The sequence below is a fragment of the Homo sapiens genome, chromosome 5 (genome assembly GCF_000001405.40).
Source record: "Homo sapiens chromosome 5, GRCh38.p14 Primary Assembly".
NCBI lineage: Eukaryota > Metazoa > Chordata > Mammalia > Primates > Hominidae > Homo > Homo sapiens.
The window spans coordinates 77872417-77892768 of record NC_000005.10 but is presented as its reverse complement, the minus strand read 5'-3'; the positions used below and the strand labels follow the sequence as shown (position 1 = coordinate 77892768).

Sequence of the window (20352 nt, the reverse complement as noted above, 5' to 3'; positions counted from 1 at the left end):
GAGGTAAGCAGCGGCCTCACTAGGCTGACTCTGTCTGCAGACAGAATCGCTGCTCTCTGGAAAGAAATTTCCTATCCCTGGGAAGCTAGGTAATTTTTCTATGAGAACAGAGGATCAATGGCAAAAACGAGTTCCAGGGAGATTGTAGAGCATTTGTTCATTCTGTGTGACTGCAGGAGTGGGTGATGGGAAGTCAGTTTAGTTGTACAAACAAAGGAAAATGAAACAGAGTCATGTCTGTCTTCAAAGGAGCCCAAGCACCTAACTTTCCAAAAGTGTAGGATGCCCTTGAAGTAAGTTCTTGCTGACAGATCACAGAAGCCGGGCAGGGGAAGGCTCTGATTGCTCCAACATCAGGATAGGAACAATTGCATAGGTGCTCTCCTTTATTACAGCCCCACCCCCTGTAAAGATAAAGAGCTGATGCAGAACCAGCGTGTGCAGATTCCCTTCCCCTCTGCCCTTGGCCCAAGGGCAACCGCACAAAATGGGATTAATTGGGATTATGGGGGCTTTGGCTGCTTGGCTGCTACTCAAGGATGAATGCTTAATTTATGTCTCAGTGGTCTTGACTCCTGTCTGATTAAACTGGCTCACTCAGGCCATTGTTTGCCAAGGACTTTCCTTTCAAAGGAGTGGCTACAGGTGGTGCTTTTATGTGACAGCTTTTTAGCTTTGACGCGGTACGTGGCTTTAGTGGATTGCGGCAATGCCACCTTTCTCTCAGAAATAACTAAAAGCACCAACAAATTCAACGGCTTCTCCTTCCATCTTTCAGGGCTTTTCTTGTGACTATCGAAGGGTCAACAGGTGTGATTCTTCACAAATATATAGAAGGGTTGTGGAATTATTACTGGACAAGAGAATAGAGCATTTATTTGGAAAACATTCATCAAGCACAGAAGTTAAGATTCAGAAATGCCTCCCCTCCTCTTAGCAACCCACTCCTCTGAATCAAAAGGTGCCCCTTGGCAGGCCTGAGGCTGATAGTGCCCTGGAACTGATAGAGACAGGGACCCTCCTCCAGCTCCCCTGTGCTGTTCCTGCCAGGGCGCTTAGGATCCTCTCCTGTGTTAGACCAGAAGCTTCGTCTCTAAAGTTTGCTACAGCCTGGGCTAAGCTCTGTTGTTATTTGCAGTGATGGGGAATGATGAGCAGCTTCTCTTCTATTGGGATTTAAACAGAGACTGTCCACAAACCTAAACTGGCTTGATGGTTTTAGCCCATTTGATTGTTAACTTGATTTACAAATACTGCTGGGCGTGGTGGCTCACGCCTGTAATCCCAGCACTTTGGGAGGCCGAGGCAGGCGGATCACGAGGTCAGGAGATCGAGACCATCCTGGCTAACATGGTGAAACCCTGTCTCTACTAAAAGTACAAAAAATTAGCCGGGCATGGTGGCGGGCACCCGTAATCCCAGCTACTTGGGAGGCTGAGGCAGGAGAATGGCGTGAACCTGGGAGGCGGAGCTTGCAGTGAGCAGAGATCGTGCCACTGCACTCCAGCCTGGGCCACTGAGCGAGACTCCGTCTCAAAAAAAAAAAACAAAACAAAAAAACAAAACAAAAAAAACCAAACAAATATATTAAGCAGTTTTTTGGCTGACTTGATATTTCCTTATTGACTTGACCTTTGAGGTCAGTCAAAAGAGCCAAATTGATTTGGGTACATCTTCCCTGCAGTGTAAAGATTCTCATCTTTTTTCCAGCAGCCATATACACATCTTCATCGGCAAATAAGCTCTTAGACTGCATAAACGGAGTAAAGTTTTCTGTCTAAAAGGGACGTGTTTTGAGAAATTGTTGCCTATGACTTTCATGCTAGTTAAAACTAAAGGTTATGGTTTTGAACTAAACTAACATGACAGAGATCTGTACCTTAACTATATGATATTTCATTAATTTAATTAGTGTAATCCTAGAAACTTATTTTCCAATATCAAATATTGCATACAAATTACTACAGAGATTATGAGTCCCCTTGTTCTATATTTGTGTAGTGTTATTTGGAATATACTTGGGAAATGCTAAAATGTATCAATATTATTTCTCCTAGCTTCATAGAAGAAAGCAGCTACAGAACATACCTCATTCATGGGAGAGGTCTATCATATTAGTATCTGGAAAAAGTACGATGAAAAGTGCCCAAATTCTGCTTTTGATTAGGATTCCATAAGTTTAAAGAACTTTATGGAAAATACAATTATAAGCATAGTATGGTGTTAATTAAAAATGACTTTAACTTGGCCAGGCACGGTGGCTCACACCTGTAATCCCAGCACTTTAGGAGGCCAAGGCGGGTAGATTATGACGTCATGAGTTCGAGACCAGGCTGGCCAACATGGTGAAACCTGGTCTTTACTAAAAATACAAAAATTAGCCGGGAGTGGTGGTGGGTGCCTATAATTCCAGCTATTCTTAAGGCTGAGGCAGGAGAATCGATTGAACCCAGGAGGCAGATGTTGCAGTAAGCCGAGATCATGCCACTGCACTCCAGCCTGGGTGACAGAGCAAGACTCTGTCTGGAAAAAAACAAATGACTTTAACTTTTATAACATATTATTAATATCTCCCAGAAATACTTTGATTATAAAATCTAGGTTTTAGTTGAATGGAGAGTGGTGGATAATAAAACTGATTGTGTAACTCAATCTGAATATGAGAGAGAGACAGAGATCCTAGGGAAATAGATAAATGAGAGCATATGAGTTTAGAAAGAAAATTAGGCAACTCCATCAAACAACTTAAAAGTTAGAGAGAACATAAAGATGTTGCTAGATTCAAATTAGCAAAAGTGAGGGATACCATCTGTCCTGAAGTTTGATGAAGCCCCTCAGGGAAGATGTACCAAGGTAAGGAAAGGCTGCTGTAAGCATTATATGAAAATACCACCAGGAAGTTTGGCTGGAAAATGTCCTCATCACTTGCCTGTCAAGGCAGAGTCAGCATACACCCTCTCCTGCTGAGTAGATTCTTCCAAACACTGGACCAGTTTGCAGACCTGGCCTACTGCTGTGCATGGAAACACAGCCAGAGTCCCTGCCCTCAGGATGGCAGAGTTGGCAGAAATCCACAAAATTTTCCAGTTGAAACCCATCTTTTACAGATGAGGAAACTGAGGCCCAGAGGGGAAATGAGCTTGCCTCGAGTACACGGTAAATCATTCCCAGCGCCCTTAGCTGATTTACAAAGAGCCCATTCACCCTGTCCACACTCTCCCCAAATGTAGGAGGTAAAATTCTGCAGCTTTCTTGCTAAAGATAGATATTTAGTGTAATCATCACCCAAAAATTATACCCCTGTCTTTAAGCAGCTTCCCTGACTAAAGTACTCCTCTAACCCTGAATCCACTGAAAGCCAGAACCAAACACTCCAAATAATATATGTTGTTTTGGAATTGTTCTCTAGTTAGGCCACAAAAGCCTGCCTTGTTTTCCCATCTACTGCCGGTAGGCAGGAGCCAGGTGCTTGTCTTTCTTTGGATCTCTCCTAGTAGAACCAATGTTACTAAATGAATAGTGCATGGATGGTTCTAGGTACCCCAATGCATAGCCATTCACTGCCCAATTAGCCCTTGCTTGTCTAGTTGTTGGCAGCCAGGGGATGTAGAAGAAGACCCTATGAAGTATTTTTAAAAGAGGGATTGATAGATAGCTATTAAGAGCCCTTTCTACAAAATTTCATTCTGAACTTGCAGCAAAGCTATGAATTTGCCTTACAGTAAAAAGAGGCATATTCAGAGAAAGTAATAAAACTTCTGTTCTAGTTAATTGGCTGGGTGCAGTGGCTCACACCTATAATCCCAGCAGTTTGAGAGGCCAAGGCGGGTGGATCACCTGAGGTTAGAGTTCGAGACCAGCCTGGCCAAAGTGGCGAAACCCCGTCTCTACTAAAAATTAGCCAGGGATGGTGGTGTGAGCCTGTAGTCCTAGCTATTCAGGAAGCTGAGACAGGAGAATTGATTGAACCCGGGAGGTGGAGGTTGCAATGAGCTGAGGAGGTGCCAATGCACTCCAGCCTGGGCAACAGAGTGAGACTCTCTCAAAACAAACAAACGAACAAACAAACAACCCAAAAAACTTCTGTTCTAGTTAATAAATATTCTACTTCAAGACACTTTTCATATAAGAACATTTCTTATATATTCTTAAATGAGATTTTTTTGCTTTTGTTTTGTTTTGCTTTATGAAATCATACTAGAAAATTGAATATAAATTTCGAGTTTTGCGTTCATGCCTAGCCCTGGGTTAAAGATGTGAAATTAGCAAAACTGAATCACAGGCCCTTTAGGGCCTCGAAACCCCAGCCAAGCCCCCTCAGCAGCACCTCTTGCCGCTCCTTTGGCTGTCCCTCACACCAACAGCTAAATCTTTGCTAAATGAAATAGTGAAGGTGCTCACCCCTGGCTCCAAATCCTGTAGCCAGGGCAGGAGGTGAGGTGTTGGGTCCTATGAGTATGTTGAGGCCCTCAATAACCACATTAGGGATGTGTGGAGAGGGGAATGCAATTTGTCTCCAGAAGAAGGAGAACCTGCTAGGAACACAGACATTCAGTAGGCAGAACTGGGAAATTTGTCTACAAATCTGGCTTTGCAATTATTTGTAACTATCCACCTCTTTAGCCATGCAATTTCAATTTTCTCCATGTGTCACCAATAATTTCTCAGGTTATTCCTCCATTCTAGCACAGATCTGTCATGGAGGCAGTGCTGGGGATCAGTCAAGATGAGCCTGGGCTCCGAAGGCAATATCACGCTACGACCTTGGACAACTTGCTTACCGTCTCTGGGCTCGGTTTCCTCATCTAACCATGAGGGGCTACTAATATTTACTACTTCATAAAGTTATCATGAGGCTAAAACTAGTGCATCAAAGCATTTAGGGCAGTGCCTGGTATAGTAAGCCCTCAATAAACGTTAGGAGAACAAACGCCATTATTTTGACATTTGAGAAGTGTTGTGTGAATGGCTGGATATGTTGATTCCAGTCACTGGAAGTGAGGGATCCTCCAATGTAAGGTTTGCTTTGCCTTATGCTGGCACTTAGACATTAATTTTATAAGCTGAAACACAGAATGGACCTTAAACATTAACCTAATGTACCAAGAAATAAAAATACGAATCAAAGTGGCAGAAATAGCATAAATCATAGATATTATCTTTGTGTAATTTTTAAAAATGGTTACAACAAAATTGCTTCTTTTCATTATACATTTATGAAACTGAGCTGATTTCATGTGACCATACTGATTTTAATGTCTTTTTAGTATTTAGAAAATGTGAAACAACCTTCAACATGAGCTATAGCTTCTAAGTTTATATCTTCACTCAGCATGGAGAAAAAGCAATTTTCTTTTTTTTTCTTTTTTTCTTTTTCTTTTTTCTTTCTTTCTTTTTTTTTTTTTGCCAGGCTCTGATGTGGCACTTGGCTCTAGACAAGTGGAGAAGGTTCTGGCTGGTGATACAACTCGAAAATCTGAGTTGATAGCGACAGGGGTTAAGTCTTCGCATTGTGAGGTTCTATTGACTTTTCCTGCAGGCTTGCCCTTTATCCTTGTCTGTATTTTAGTTTTTAAGAAGCCTTCAAAAGGTAGGGCACTCATTAGTGGTTCCATAGTGGATGGTTATGTTCAGTTGTTATTTCTTTGTATGCCACTATTGTCTAGGTTATATTATGCAGTGTGACAAGTGCTGTGGAGAGCAAATGAAAGGCAAGGTTTCAGCACGAGCAAAGCTTACGTTACAAAGAGGGAGTGTTTTGAAATGGCCTTATGACAGAGCAAAGCACTATGCCAGGTGTAGTTGAACAACGAGGAACAAAGCCGTCCTAACAAACAGCACTGGTCCATCTGGGAGGGGGCGGGAAGGGAGCAGAGGGAGGCCACTCTTCTAAAGTGACTCTTTGCCAACAATTTAAAAGATATTATGCTGGATAATAGTTTTTACGACTCTGATGAATATTACAAGAAGCAGTGAGAGGTGGGATGTTAAAGCTCTGCAGAAGGAGATCTGGGGTGTCTCCTGCTTTTGAACTTCAAGATTGCCCCTCCTCTAGCTGACAGTTTTAGATACTGCCCCCAAGCTCCCCTCCTCCTAAACATTAGAAAATGGTCATACCTGGCCAGGCGCAGTGGCTCACATCTGTAATCCCAGCACCTTGGGAGGGCGAGGTGGGCAGATCATGAGGTCAGGAGTTTGAGACCAGCCTGGGCAACATGGTGAAACCCCGTCTCTACTAAACATACAAAAATTAGCAGGGTGTGGTGGCAGGCGCCTGGAATCCCAGCTACTTGGGAGGCTGAGGCAGGAGAATCACTTGAAACTGGAAGGCAGAGGTTGCAGTGAGCCGAGATTGCACCACTGCACTCTAGCCTGGGCAACAAGAGCAAAACTTCTTCTCAAAAGAAAAAAAAGAAAAGAAAAGAAAAAGGGAGAAAGAAAGAAAATGGTTACTACTTTTAGACAATGGAACTCAAGCCTAAAAGAAGTTAGATTTCTTTCTGGTCTACCAGTAAGTTTGGAAAAAGTTGAGAAAGATGTGTAAAGTAATAAGCATATTAACCAGGGATGGTTGTTATTTTTATTTGTAATATCCCTTTTCAAACAATGAGCCAAGAATGGCAATCACAATAGAAAAGACATCTCATGCACAGAAGACTAACTGGAGTTTTAGGCGGGAGACTGGAGAGTCATTGCTAGCTTGTATGAAGTAAGCAGGTGGTTTAATGAACTGTAGTATTTACTCCCAGAAATCTGGAATTTTCTTTGTTCTTATGCCTTATATTTCAAGAAAAGCTTTATTGCTATAGAGGAGGCAACAACGTTCAGTAGCATGAAGGCAGCCTGTGGCATTCCCTACCTCTAGGGGTCAAAGAGCCTAACACTGTAGATGGATTTAAAAGGTGGCTAGAAAATTCTGTGGCAAATATTAGCATTTGCTGTCATGCATGTTAAAAGACTGGTAATCAAATCTCATGCCTCAGAGAGTGAATGAATACTGCCAGGGTAAGCCTTCTTTCTCCCGCTCCTCCCTCCCCATGCTCCCGTCTCCACTACAGGAAACGTGACTGAGTTGATGGGAAGGGAAAATGCTCTTGCCATAGCTCATTGAAATCACACAATTCCCTGTGGCTCAGGACCTAGGAGGGGAATTGGGAGGTACAAAGAGAGGAAAGTCAGGTTTCTCAGCCCTGGGATTCTGGCTGCTGCCCTTGAAGTTTTTCTGGACTGACAAGACGTTGAGGTCTGCAGGAAAGACAAGGCTTGATGACAACCTCCTAAGTCTAGGTAAGTCCTAGGCTTTTTCTGGGGGAGACAGCCCTCCTGAGAGGTTGCAGCCCTCCCCCATATCATCTGGGATTTGGCCTCGCTGTTATCCCAACCACCTGGGGAGAAGAGAAGACTGGCCATCTTTGTTTTCTCCTTTCTCCCTTCCTTCCTCCTTTCTTCCCTTTTTCATCTTTGTCTTCCCTCTTCCTCCCTCTACAGGGAAGAAAGAACATCTGTTTCTCTTGCTCCTTCCCCTTAGAGGTTCCATAGGACCCCAGTGCCCATGAAGTCACTGGAAAAATCAGCTCTTTATTCCCCAGGCAAGAGGCTTGCTTAGGAAGCGTCTGGGCTGCAGGTCCTGTGTAGTGCCAAGGTCAGGTGTCCTCAGGACCTTGGCTCTCCTCATTCCAGCATCTTCTCCCTTGCCCTCTCTACTTGACCCTTCCCTAACACACAGAGGAGCTCTAATATTTTCCAACAGAAAACACAACCAGTCAGACATCCCCCGTGTGCCCATGAGCTCCTCCAACTGTTCTCTCTCTGCTTTCTGAGAGCCACATTTCTCACCAGGCTGACCACAGAATGCTGTTTCTTTCCTGTCTCCCATTCTCAGCTCAGTGGCTCCCTTCCTTTTCCACCCTCCGCCCTCTTCTCTCATCAGCATCAACAATTACCTCTATGTGGTCCCAGCTGCTTTTATCTCTCTTCGTGAGACAGACCTCTCTCCTTCCGGAGCATCCAATTTTTCTTTGCCTGTGACACCTCATTCTTCTGGGTTTCTCCATGACTCCTTCTTCTGTTCAGAGGTCTGGGCTCAGCCCTGGGACTCCTCTCCGTGTTTTCTCTCCCTAGGCAATCTCACCAGCCCACCACTTTCATACCACCTGTGCCGAGTTCTCCCAAGTGTGTATCTAAGCTCCTAACTCCTGTATCCAATGACATCCTCCTATTGGATGTCTCAGAGGCATCTCAATTGCAACCTGGCTGGACCTGAACTCTTCTGATCCCCCCAGATATCAGTAAACCAATTCAGACACCCTGAAACACGAGAGTACCCTTTCCCTTTCTCACTCTGTATATACAGTTGATCCGCATGTCCTAACAATTCTACTCCTAAAACATCTCACAGTTTCACTCATGTCTGTCAATTCACTGCCATTACCCAAGTCCAAGCCACCCACATCCTACACCAGGACCACTGCAATAGCCTCACAGCTGGTCTCCTCACTTCTACTTTTGCCCTCGTTACATTGAACCCATTCTTAAGTGGCACCCATTCTTCTATTTAGCAGTAGACAGATGTGTTAGGACCTAAGTTCGACCATATGATTTATCTGCTGAAAACTTATAAATGGCAATTGCAATTGGAATGCCTACAGGAAGTTGGTCCTGGCCAAGCTCCCATCACTTATGTGTCTCCAGTTTCCCTGTGGTGGCCCCTAACCTCATTTCAATTCTAAGCTCTCTCCCACCACAGGGCTTCCACAAGGTTGATCCCTCTGTCTGAAATGCTCCTTCTCCCACTTTTGGCCTGAATTCTACCAACTTTTCTCAGGTTTCAGTGTAGATAACACTTCTTCATGGAGACTTTCCCCAGCCTCCCAATCTAAATGAGATCCTCCAATTAGGCTGTCTCTTAGTTCCTCGTCTTTTCCTTCGTTTAATTCATTGTAACTTATAAATATTGTGTGTATTTAACTGTTGACTGCCTTGTGCCCATAGGTTCCATGATCAGGGATTATGCCTGTCTCACCATTACAGCCTGGGGCACAGGTCTGTGTCTGCCGCCTAGCAGTGCTCTGTCTTTAGTTAAAGAATGTGTACTAGTCAGGTCAGAACCACCTGCTGGACATCACATGAGAGAAAAATGGGAGGCTGTCCCTACAAATAAGAACCCTTAATAAATCATCTGAGCATTTTAGGTAGTGTTATTCTTTTCCTACCATACCATAAAATGAATTCTTATACCCTTCATAATTATCAAACTCAGATGACAAAGTTCCTGAAAACCAAGCTTTTCTCTTAATTATTAAATGTGCTACTATGTCCTCTCTGGGTGGACAGATTTGCAAGCACTTGAAAATGGTCAGCAGAGCAAGGTGGCTCATGCCTGTAATCCCAGCACTTTGGGAGGCCGAGGTGGGTAGATCATGAGGTCAGGAGTTCGAGACCAACTTGGCCAACATGATGAAACCTCGCCTCTACTGAAAATACAAAAATTAGCCAAGCATGGTGGCGCACACCTGTAATCTCAGCTACTTGGGAGGGTGAGGCAGGAGAATCGCTTGAACCCGGGAGACAGAGTTTGCAATGAGGTGAGATCTCACCGTTGCACTCCAGCCTGGGTGACGGAGCGAGACTCTGTCAAAAAAAAAAAAAGAAGAAAGAAAGAAAGAGAAAGAAAGGAAGGAAGGAAGGAAAGAAGGAAGGAAGGAAGGAAGGAAATGGGCTAGTGGATCAGCACTTGCTGAGCAACTATCACTGAGCTGCAGAGGCAGATTCTGCAAGGGCACAAGGCCTGGCCCAGCTCTTGGGGCATGATCAGCACAGGCAGAAAGGCAGAGTAAAGTCACATAAAACAATATGTACAAGACAAGTTGCGTCAGCCCCAAATCATGTAATATACACATCCTGCACAAATATCTGCAGTGCACAGTCATTGCCTTCCTGTGTGGGCTGGTGAGGTGGTATGTTAAAGAGCTAGGCACAAGTTGGGGCTCCAATCCTGTATTTGTGAAACTCTGGGCAAGCCACTTTATCTCTCTGGGCCTCAGCTTTCTCTTCTGTACAATGAAGATAATAATAGCTCCCCTTCCTGCTTCATAGAAAAGGGAAGGACAATCACCTTTTATTAAGTCTCTTCTTCATGTCAGGTCCTGTAATAGACATGTTAACATAAGGCTCCGGGCAGGGCGCAGTGGCTCATGCCTGGAACCCTAGCACTTTGGGAGGCTGAGACAGGAGGATCCTCTGAAGTCAGGAGTTTGAGACCAGCCTGGGCAACAAAGCGGAATGCCATTTCTAAAAAGAAAAAAAAAAGAAAAAGAAAAAACCCATAAGGCTCTCATCACACTCTTTCAACAATCCTGAGAAGCTGGCATCACTCATATTTTACAAATAAGATGATGGATGCTCCAGGAGGTGAAGTACTGTGTCTAAGCTCACAGCTGCTAAGAAAGAGACCCGCAATAAGAACGCCAGTCTGACACCAAAGTTTATGCTCTTTCTACTCCTGTCCCAGGTAAACGTAAGGCTTGCTAACTAGAAAGTGTGATACAGATATAAGTATCATTATTTTATGAAAATGCCAGGTCAACCACAGTTAGAAAACTGAGTTTTATCCATTCGTTCACAAATATCATTGAATGTCTTTACTGTGCTTTGTGTACTGTGCCAGATAACTCTCAGTATTATCAGAAGCAATGACTTAAGAGAAAAAGTAAAACGACCAATGATCTTTTCACCGTTTCTCAAAAACTTGTGTCATTGGATTCCTGTAACTAATGTGATTTTCCATAAACTCAAACGGTGATTTTCTGGTTTTGAAATTTCCACCCTCTTTTTTTTTTTTAAAGGAACATATCTATTATATGAAGTGGGCAACACCTGTATGTGAGGCACATTGACGAGTAAACTCTGAGCTGCTGTCACAAGCAGTTAAAAGTAAAAGGCCTTTGTCAAAGCGAGTTAACAAAGTCTATTGTGTGACATGGAATCTTTGACACATTCATCATGCTGGTGTGGACTATCTCAAAACTCAGAGCTGGTGGACTCTAGCCAGCTTCCTTATCATGCGTACAAATGAGTCTGTTTCCACGAGGACCCGCATCATCCTCTCTGCGCTGTTGGCTTTCACTGGAGATGACCCCACAGACCTGTTCCCAAGCATGTGGGACCTGAAATCTAGCAAAGGTAATAAATTTGTTCTGGTGCAGTATCGGAGAGGTGACCATCTATCTCAAGCCCTCATTTGCAGAGGAGGATGTGGGAGCCATGAGGTTAAGAGAGAGGACAAGGACATGGAGCTTATACAGGGGCAAAGCCAGTATTAGGATGAAGGCCCTGTGACTCTCAGCTCAGTGCTCCTTCCTCCTTGTGACCAAGAGTACTGTTGTAGACATGACTGCAGCTCTCTAAGATTTCTGGTTCTCTTCTTCCTCCAGGCATATAGGAGGACTGGCTTTAAGTCAGGTGTGGCCATATGACTCACCTTGGCCCGTGAAAGGTGAGGGGGGCCTGTAATCCAGCACTTTGGGAGGCCCAGGCGGGCAGATCACTTGAGGCCAGGAGTTCAAGACCAGCCTGGCCAACATGGCAAAACTCCACCTCTACTAAAAATACAAAAATTAGCCGAGGGTGGTGGTGCGTGCTTATAGTCCCAGCTACTTGGGAGGCTGAGGCATGAGAATCGCTTGAATCCAGGAAGTGGAGGTTGCAGTGAGTCAAGATCGTGCCACTGCACTCCAGCCTGGGTGACAGAGCAAGACAAGACTCTGTCTCCTAAAAAAAAAAAAAAAAAAAAAAAAAGTAAGGGGATTTATGTCACTTCTGGGCAAGCACATTTAGGAGTCATGTTGTAACTTTTCATGCCCTCTTTCTGTGCGATGGTGAATCCTGAAGCATTGTATTGTGATGTTGACTTAAGATCTAATGAGATGGTGGAGTCTCTGTCTGCCTGAGTCCCTGAGTGACTAGGATACTTAGAGCCTCCTAACCAATCTGCTTTGGGTGTGTCGTATGAATAAGACTTGTTTCATAGTGTAACTAGTTAACTAGTTCATCCTGACTATTGCAAGTGCCCACCATGACAGGATGGACCAAGGTGCAGAGTAGTGTTTGTGACTATGACAAAGAGGAGAACTAAACAACTCACTAAGAATAAGCTGGCCCAGTGCAGTGGCTCACGCCTGTAATCCCAGCACTTTGGGAGGCCAAGGTGGACGGATCACTTGAGGTCAGGAGTTTGACTCCAGGCTGGCCAACATGGTGAAACCCCGTGTTTACTACAAATACAAAAATTAACCAGGCATGGTGGTGCATTCTTGTAATCCCAGCTACTTGGGAGGCTGAGGCAGGAGGATTGCTTGAACCCGGGAGGTGGAGGTTGCAGTGAGCTGAGATCATGCCACTTTACTCCAGCTTGGGCAACAGAGCAAGACTGTCTCAAAGAAAAAAAAAAGAAAGAAAAAGAAAAAAAAAAAAGGCAGGACCTCTTTCCTGTCCCCCAGGGCAGCCCCTGGCAGAGTGAACTTCAAGTCAGAGTGAACTTTGAGTCAGAGAGAGTGGGGTTTCCCTCACTGACCTCTCTGAGCTGGCGGTGCAATCCTGGCTGCATCAGTGAATCCTCCTGTGAGTCAGCCCCTTTATCTGTGAAGCAGGGATAACAAGTTCGTACTTGCAGGTCTGTTGTCAGCGTCAGTTTTCTGACACAGGTCACAGTATAGCTCAAAAATGTCTGTTGGGGGAAGAAAGTTGGTTGGTTAATCCCACACGCAGAGTCCTGCCCAAAGACATAAAAAAAAAAGAAAAAGAAAAAGAAAAAGAAAACCCTAAAATTCCTGTCTAGCCTTTACTCAGCCCCTCAGGCCACCTTTGAAGGAATTATGTTAAAATCTCATGGGGGCCAAGGCCAGACACAGTGACTCACGCCTGTAATCCCAGCACTTTGGGAGGCCAAGGCGGGCAGATTACGACGTCAGGAGTTTGAGACCAATCTGGCCAACATGGTGTAAACCTGTCTCTACTGAAAATACAAAAATTACAGGTACGGTGGTGCATGCCTGTAATCCCAGCCACTTGGGAGGCTGAAGCAGGAGAATCACTTGAGTCTGGGAGGTGGAGTTTGCGAGTTTGCAGTGAGCCAAAATCACACCACTGCACTCCAGCCTGGGTGACAGAGCGAGACTCCATCTCAAAAAAAAAAAAAAAAAAAAAAAAGAATCTCATGGGGCCTGAGAGCCTGTACATTTGGGATTCTGTAAAACTCAGGTTTCTCATAATAGATGTGAGGTGTTAGAGTGGATCTTCTTCACTTTCTCAGTTCCCACTGGACATGCTTAACTGTGAGAGTAAAAAGATGAAGAAGGCAGGTGATGATTGAGCAGAATTAGTACTATACATTTTTTTTTTTTCTGGTTAGGAGAATGTTAGAAACTGGAAGATTCTTTGTGAACCAAGCTACTTCATTTGAAGGGTCAGAAGCAAGGTTTGGGGTGAACTTCTTTTACTCAGGACACAGTTATTGATGAACTGTAAGGATCTCCCTAACAAGAATGCCCTGATCCAGAGAAGAGTCTCTGCTCAGTTGTTTATTTACAGTAATCCCCAATATAGTCAAAATTTGTGGAAAGCATTGCAGACATTTTTAAGAGTCGATTTACCCTATTAAAGAGGCAGAGGTAAGTTTTCCTGTGGTATCTTTCGAAGTGTTCATCCATGCCAAGCTCTAGAATGGGTACTTTCTTTCAATTAGGTTCTTATTCATACAGATTCATTTCCTGCTGACTATATAATTATATAATTAAAGCTAATGTAGGCCATTTACACATTTTAGTTAATTTAATAGCTTGAAATAGAATCCTTAAGGTCAAAAGAAATGTGAACACCTGGAATCTAGTTAAAGTCCTGGTGGAATACATATATATATACATATATATATATATATACACACACACATATATATATACATATACATATATATATATATAATGATTATGCTTTAACAAAACAGGTGAAGTTTGTCAGGCAGATCAGGATTTTGAGAATGTCATTTATAGCTTTCAGTTTAATTTTAAGCAGAGGAAAATGCTACAATTCCAATCTCAACCTAATTCTATAGGTAGATGGAATTTATGGGAAAAAAAAGTCAAATTGTGTTTTCTAAGAAAAATGGTTTCCCAAATCATTGGCTCTCTTCCACTTAACCTTCCTTACCTTCTAATCCCCTTCCTTTCCTCTAACTGTGCATTCAATAACAGGCAGCATTAGGGTAGTTTTCAGAAAAACTTAGCATTTCTAGAACTTCAGAATCCGAGATGGAAATTCCTGAATTACTTGTTCGAGTGCTTAGTTCCTAAGACCAAGCTCAGGTGCCCTAAGCTTTGTTTCTTGCGTAGGTAAAGATTTAACAGAATTACATGGCCAAGATTTCAGAAATGCCTTGAATAAGAGAACTGTAGCTTTTTCCTCCACAAAATCTTGAAGCCTTCATTCTGGGCCTCTAATACTAGATAATTTACCTATTACACAAGAGAAAAAAAATGAATTCATACTAGGAATCATTTAAATTGTTTCCTTATTTGGCAAGTCAGTGGCTTTTACACAATTCAGAATACATTGAGGTGGAGGAGGAAGAAAGCTGGCTATGACAAATCTTGAAGCTTTTTAACCCGTTTTAGACCTGATGTGCTGTAGAAGCTCCCTGTCATGTCCTCAGCCACACTACACAGCAAGGCCATTAAACAGAAATTGACTGCTTTGTTTTGCCAAAGAGAAGAGTACACACAAACAAAAAATAGGCGGGCCAGGTGGTGCATGCCTGTAGTCCCGGCTACTTGGGAGGCTAAGGCGGGGGAATCACTTGAGCCCAGGAGGTTGAGGCCGCAGTGAGCTGTGAGTATGCCACTGCACTCCAGCCTGGGCAACAGAGCAAGACCCTGTCTCAAAAAGCAAAGCAAACAAAACAACAACAAAAAAGTACACATCAACACTGCAAGGGTCCCAACTAGACGAGATGTGGGGCTGCTGAGAGACCAGGGCGAAGGGGCAGTGTGTTGCTCCCGTTCCCAGGCAGAGCATAAAACATGGATCACAGGCATGATTGCTTAGGAGAGCGGCTCCAAGGGAAACTGCTATAAGACACTGTGCAAATCTGTGGTGTGTGGCCATCACGGTGTCAGGATGGGTATTAAAATGTAATTCTTGTAAATGAGAGCCAATTTTGATGCATTCACAGGAGGACCCGATCCAAACACTCAAGCTAACCCATTACCCTGTACGATGCAGACATACAGGCTGAAAATTTTAGTCAAATAAAGCTAAGCTGCCTTACTTGCTGTCAAAAAAAAAAAAAAAAAAAAAAAAAACAAGACTGGCTAAAATGTTATTCTCCCTGTGCCTGTATAAAATATCAACAAAACCAAGTTGACTTTGTTTGGATGGTTTAGATATACTTTCACTTTCGGATACCGTCCACTAAGTCCTTTACAAAGCACATTAAGTTGGCCTTGGTTGATCAAGTGAAATTGCAGATCCACCTTTAGTACTCAATTAGCCAGGGGTTATAGCTCCAAGAATACACAGACATATGGATCAGACATGGGGACTTAAACCTGATTTGGGAGCCCGAAAGAATTTAAAGCCAACTCTATCTCCTGCAAATGTCTGAGGAAGGGCGTGTGGCCAAAAAGGGACAGTCCCTAGAAGCCCTGGATATTTGACCAGCCTCTTTTTGTGAGATTGTGACTCAGTTCTCTGGGGGAAGAAAAAAAAAGGAGGCATAATGCCTGTTACTAAGGAAAATGCCGAAATCATGGCTGGTAGGTGAGCTCTCGGAGTGCGTAGCTTGGTTTCCTGACACGGATCTTCTGCAATTAAGTTGAATTTGGTTGATCAAGCAAAGTTGCTGATCATTCTCTTCCTACCAGGACAAAACAGTAGTCATAATCTCTACTATTTGTTTAGCGCTTTAATTATTTGACAAAGTGCTTTCTGGTAATTGTCTCTCTTAATTCCTATCACAACCCCTGTAATGCCGGGAATGATCATCAGGGCCAAAGCCTGGGGTTTCCAGAGAGAAGGAAAGTGGGTCCCGAGACACACAGTCAGGGAATTACCTGGGTCCTCAAACTTCAGAGCTGGTGCTCCCTTTCAAGTCAACTTGACCCTCTCAAGCCTTCATCCAACAATGTCCTCACTAAATAATTCTAACTCAGAGGGTGTTGTGGTGAAAGACTTCCTCCACATTTTACTAGTTCTCTTTATTGACAGTCTTGGCAGCTTTCCATCATGATTTTCTAAATGTATTTCAACATAAAAAGCTCACACAAACTCTTCTCTAGAATAAAGTAAGTGCTGATGTTGATGATGATTTTTCAGCACTTATTTGGGGGACAAATATATTGGTTGCAGGAGCATCCTTCTAATTATTTGGCTGTTGAATACAGCAACTCCCTTGCCAGTGAATGCACTGGGGTATTAGCTTGTGGAGTTGTTGCTCACAGCAGAGGATGTCTGAGACTGGTTAGTTGGTTGACCAGGATGATAGGGAAAGACCATTGTTAGTATGGAAAGTAATGTTATGATGATTTAAGGTATTTTCCTAGTTTATAATTCTTATCCATCCATCTAACAGTGGGCTTCAAAGCTGTATTTGGTGCCCTCCCTTGACTGCAGTGTGTATACTTGTATACCTGTACATTTTGAAAGAAGAGGTTAAGGTAGAAAGCAGGGCACCCCAGATCCACTCTCCCACTGAATAGATCTTCCCACTACAGTCTCCCAGGCACTGCCCATGAGCGCAGAAGGAGAGGAGCCTCTGAACAGGTCCTATCTTCAAACTCACACGTGGTTACAGTGCCTCTCACAGAAGCCAGCTTAGCACTAGATGGGCAAGCACCTCATACCCACTGAGGCAGACTGGATACAGTTAGCATGATTGTTGCTTCTAGTGAGCTAACGCTGATCCTGGGTCCAGGAGAGGCAGAGCCATTTCTCTGGATTTTCCCGTGCTTATTTCCTCACTGCCACCACCACCACCAGCAGCAGCAAGCCCTATCCCTCTGCAGTTTGTCATCATCTTGTTACCATAAAAATCACATCTCAGTTTGGGCTGCAGGGCTCAGAAAATGTACAAGCACCATGTTAAATGTTATGATGTGAAACATCATTTATTTCTTCAAGAATTCAGTCCAGAGCTGGGGCCATGGTTTTGCAAAATTTGTTGTTCTGCCTCCTCCTCTCTCGTTCTTTTCTTCTCCTAAATCTCTTTCTCTTGCTCTCTTTTTCCTATTGACCACTTGTTAAATCTTTTTGTTTGTTTCCCCTCTTTCTCCTGGGACCCTCCGACAGGCAGCCTTGCCAGATTCATTTTCTGATCAAAGCTGTTTGATTTGGTCAATTTTGCCACATTGGAGACGTTCTCTATTACAGAGATAAATAGCTTTGGGCTAACTGTCAACGAAAACTTGTAAGCTAATAAATTATTCCAATTTCTTCTCGCGGATTTCTCTGGAGACAGCCCTAGGAAATACACTTTTTGATTAGTAAATTTCTCTGTGTGTGTGTCTGGACATTCAAATGTGTCGGCTTTGATTAGCACCATTGCTTTTCAAGTCGACGTTGGCTGAGGGGCTGTCAGTTGCAGGCAGCCCTGATGCATAATGCATCAACTGGGCCCAGAAACAGGAGCCTCTTCCAAGTCTGGAAAGGTGGGAAAATTGCCCTAACAACCCCACTGGCCCACTCTGCACCAAAGGGAGCTCAACTTGAAAGTCTTGACAAGACTTGCTTCAGCTGCAGTGGAAGCCACCCACGCTGGGCTGGAGAGACCACGACTGCAGGCCTGCCAAGAACCAAAGCCGCTGCTCCACCTGCTCCACCACCACCTCTCCCTCCCACAGTTTTGCCCCTGCATCCTCACCCACACGCTCCACTCCATCATCCTGGAGTCCCTGGGCAAAGGCCAGCCCCTTCTGGGCAGGCCTAGATTTCCCTTTGCCTCCCCTTGGATTCTGGTTTGCCGTTTGTCTAGTTAAGGGCCCTTGGGTTGTTATAGAAACAATATTTTGGCTATAACAAATCAATCGGTGCGTGTGAACGCAAACATACAGATCATTTATCAATGGCAAAATACCCTAAATTATGACCTTTCTAAAACCTATCAGAAGGGCGAGCGAATGCATAATGTAAATTAAAGTTTGAAGGGTCAGCGGTTTTTACTTTCACTATTCATCTTTCTTTCACCTTATAGGTTTAAGAACAAGAGGGCTGTGTAATTACATTTCAATGGGGTGCAGCGGTTCATTATTCCCAGCTATACCAATCTGCTGCAACATTTCCAATGCAGTCAGGTACATTTTAGCAGATATTAGTTGGTATAAGACCATACTTGCTCTTTGGACTGATAACATCTTTTAATGCATAACAGTGCTATCATCTCAATTTAGAAAAGGCTAAAAGGGTGAGGATTTTTTCTCAGATCAATACAGTTGTTCATATTTTATAAATGTGGTAAAGCCTATCTGGTAATTCTTCCCAGATATGATTTGCCCTTTGCCTCCCAGTTGCTCCCTGTCTCTGATTATCATTTCCCAAAGTCCCCACCACCCCATGTGTTAGGAGACAACATTTTGTGCTGAAGCCCACTGCACTGATGGAAATGGGTAGCTTCCAACAGAAAACCCTTCTGTTGCCAATGATCTGGCTCCAGTGGTGACGGGGCCGCGCTGCTGAGCGCAAGGGCTCTGAAGTTCCAGCTTAGCCCTGAGGTTTGGTGATAGCAGCCATTGTGTTCTTTCTACCTGTGGAGCCAGCATGCACCTTCGGAAACAATTGATGTACTCTGCCCCAGAATATGCAGCCACAGTGGAGTCACCAGAGTGAGACGAAGGGGACCTCTTGTATCTTGAAGAAATCCTGTAGAATAGAACAAATCTTAAATGTCTTCTTCAAGCAAAGAAGCCAGTCCCAGAGCAATAAATAAAGTTTATTTATTGCTATATATATATATATAGCAATATATATTTATATTATTTATTTGTTATATATATATGTAAGAATGTAGGTATACATACATGTGTCTGTGTGTACATGAATGAAAATGTATGTAAATCATGTAAATCTCCTAATAAAGGCTGGAAAATACACATCAAATGGCAAAGTAGTTATCCCTGGGGAAAGGAATGAAGGAGGATAACTTACATTTTGCAAAAATCTTTTACCCACAAGATTGCATTCATATTTGACTTGTGTAATGAGAGAGAGAGATGGAAGGAAGGAAGGAAGGAAGGAGCAGGAAGGAAGGAAGGAGAAAGAAAAGAAGAAGGAAGGAAGGAGCAGGAAGGAAGGAAGGAGAAAGAAAAGGAAGGAAGGAAAAGAAAGAAAGAAGGGAAGAAAGGAAGGAAGGAAAGAAGGAGGAAGGGACTTCTTTTTAAAATTTTTTAAAATTATGAAACACAAAATTTACTATTGTAACCATTTTTAAGTGTACAATTCATTAGTGTTAAGTATACTCACATTGTTGTACAACTAATCTCCAGAACTTTCCTCTTGCAAAACTGAAACTCTATTGTCATTAAATAACAACTCCCCATTGCCTCCTTGCCTCCTCTGTCCAGATGCTGGCAACTACCATTCTATTTTCTGTCCCTATTAATGAGTCTGACTACTCTAAATACCTCTTGTAAGTAGAATCATGCAGGATTTGTCTTTTTGTGACTGGTTTGTTTCACTTAGCATAGTGTCCTCACAAGGTTCAGCCATGTTGTAGCATGTGCCAGAATTTCCTTCCTTTTTAAGGCTAAATAATATTCCATTATATTATTATATATAAGGAATATTATATATTATTATATATTATATTTCTATATAAGGAATGTATATATTCCCTTCTAAAGCTAAATAATATTCCATTATTTTGGAATATAATTATAGTCCATTAATTATAGAATACTCCATTATGCCATTTGTCTAGTTAAGGGCCTTTAACTAGACAAATATTTAAGGAACTAATAATTCCAATTATTATTCCATATTATTGGTTCCAAATAATATTCCATTATTTATTGGATATAATTATGTTCCATTAATTATAGCATATAATTATACTATGATGGAATATTATTTGGCCTTAAAAATATATATATATCCCTCATATAAAGATAAACACACATTTGTTTATATATATATATATTTATTGTTTTTAAGGCTAAATAATAGATAAACACACATTTTGTTTATCTCTCTATCCATTGATGGATACCTGAGTTGCTTCCACCTCTTGGCTATTGTGAGTAATGCTGCTACCAACACAGCTGTACAAATGTCTCTCCAAGATTCTGCTTTGAATTCTTTGGACACATACCC

General features: G+C 42.8%; 1 long non-coding RNA gene across 1 annotated transcript in view, besides 1 other annotated feature; it reads right to left on the bottom strand.

Moving 5' to 3' along the window:
- LOC101929154 (uncharacterized) overlaps window positions 1-8113 on the bottom strand; it is a 74441-nt gene extending 66328 nt beyond the window's left edge. Inside the window, exon 1 of the long non-coding RNA NR_105012.1 lies at window positions 7944-8113. This is a non-coding gene — a long non-coding RNA (uncharacterized LOC101929154). The remainder of the gene's footprint in view (window positions 1-7943) is intronic.
- Window positions 12683-12752: an enhancer, noted in NCBI's record as "active region_22703". NCBI's record gives its function as "activates an Ori minimal core promoter by ATAC-STARR-seq in GM12878 lymphoblastoid cells {active_cell/tissue: GM12878}" and the evidence as "EXISTENCE:reporter gene assay evidence [ECO:0000049][PMID:35858748]".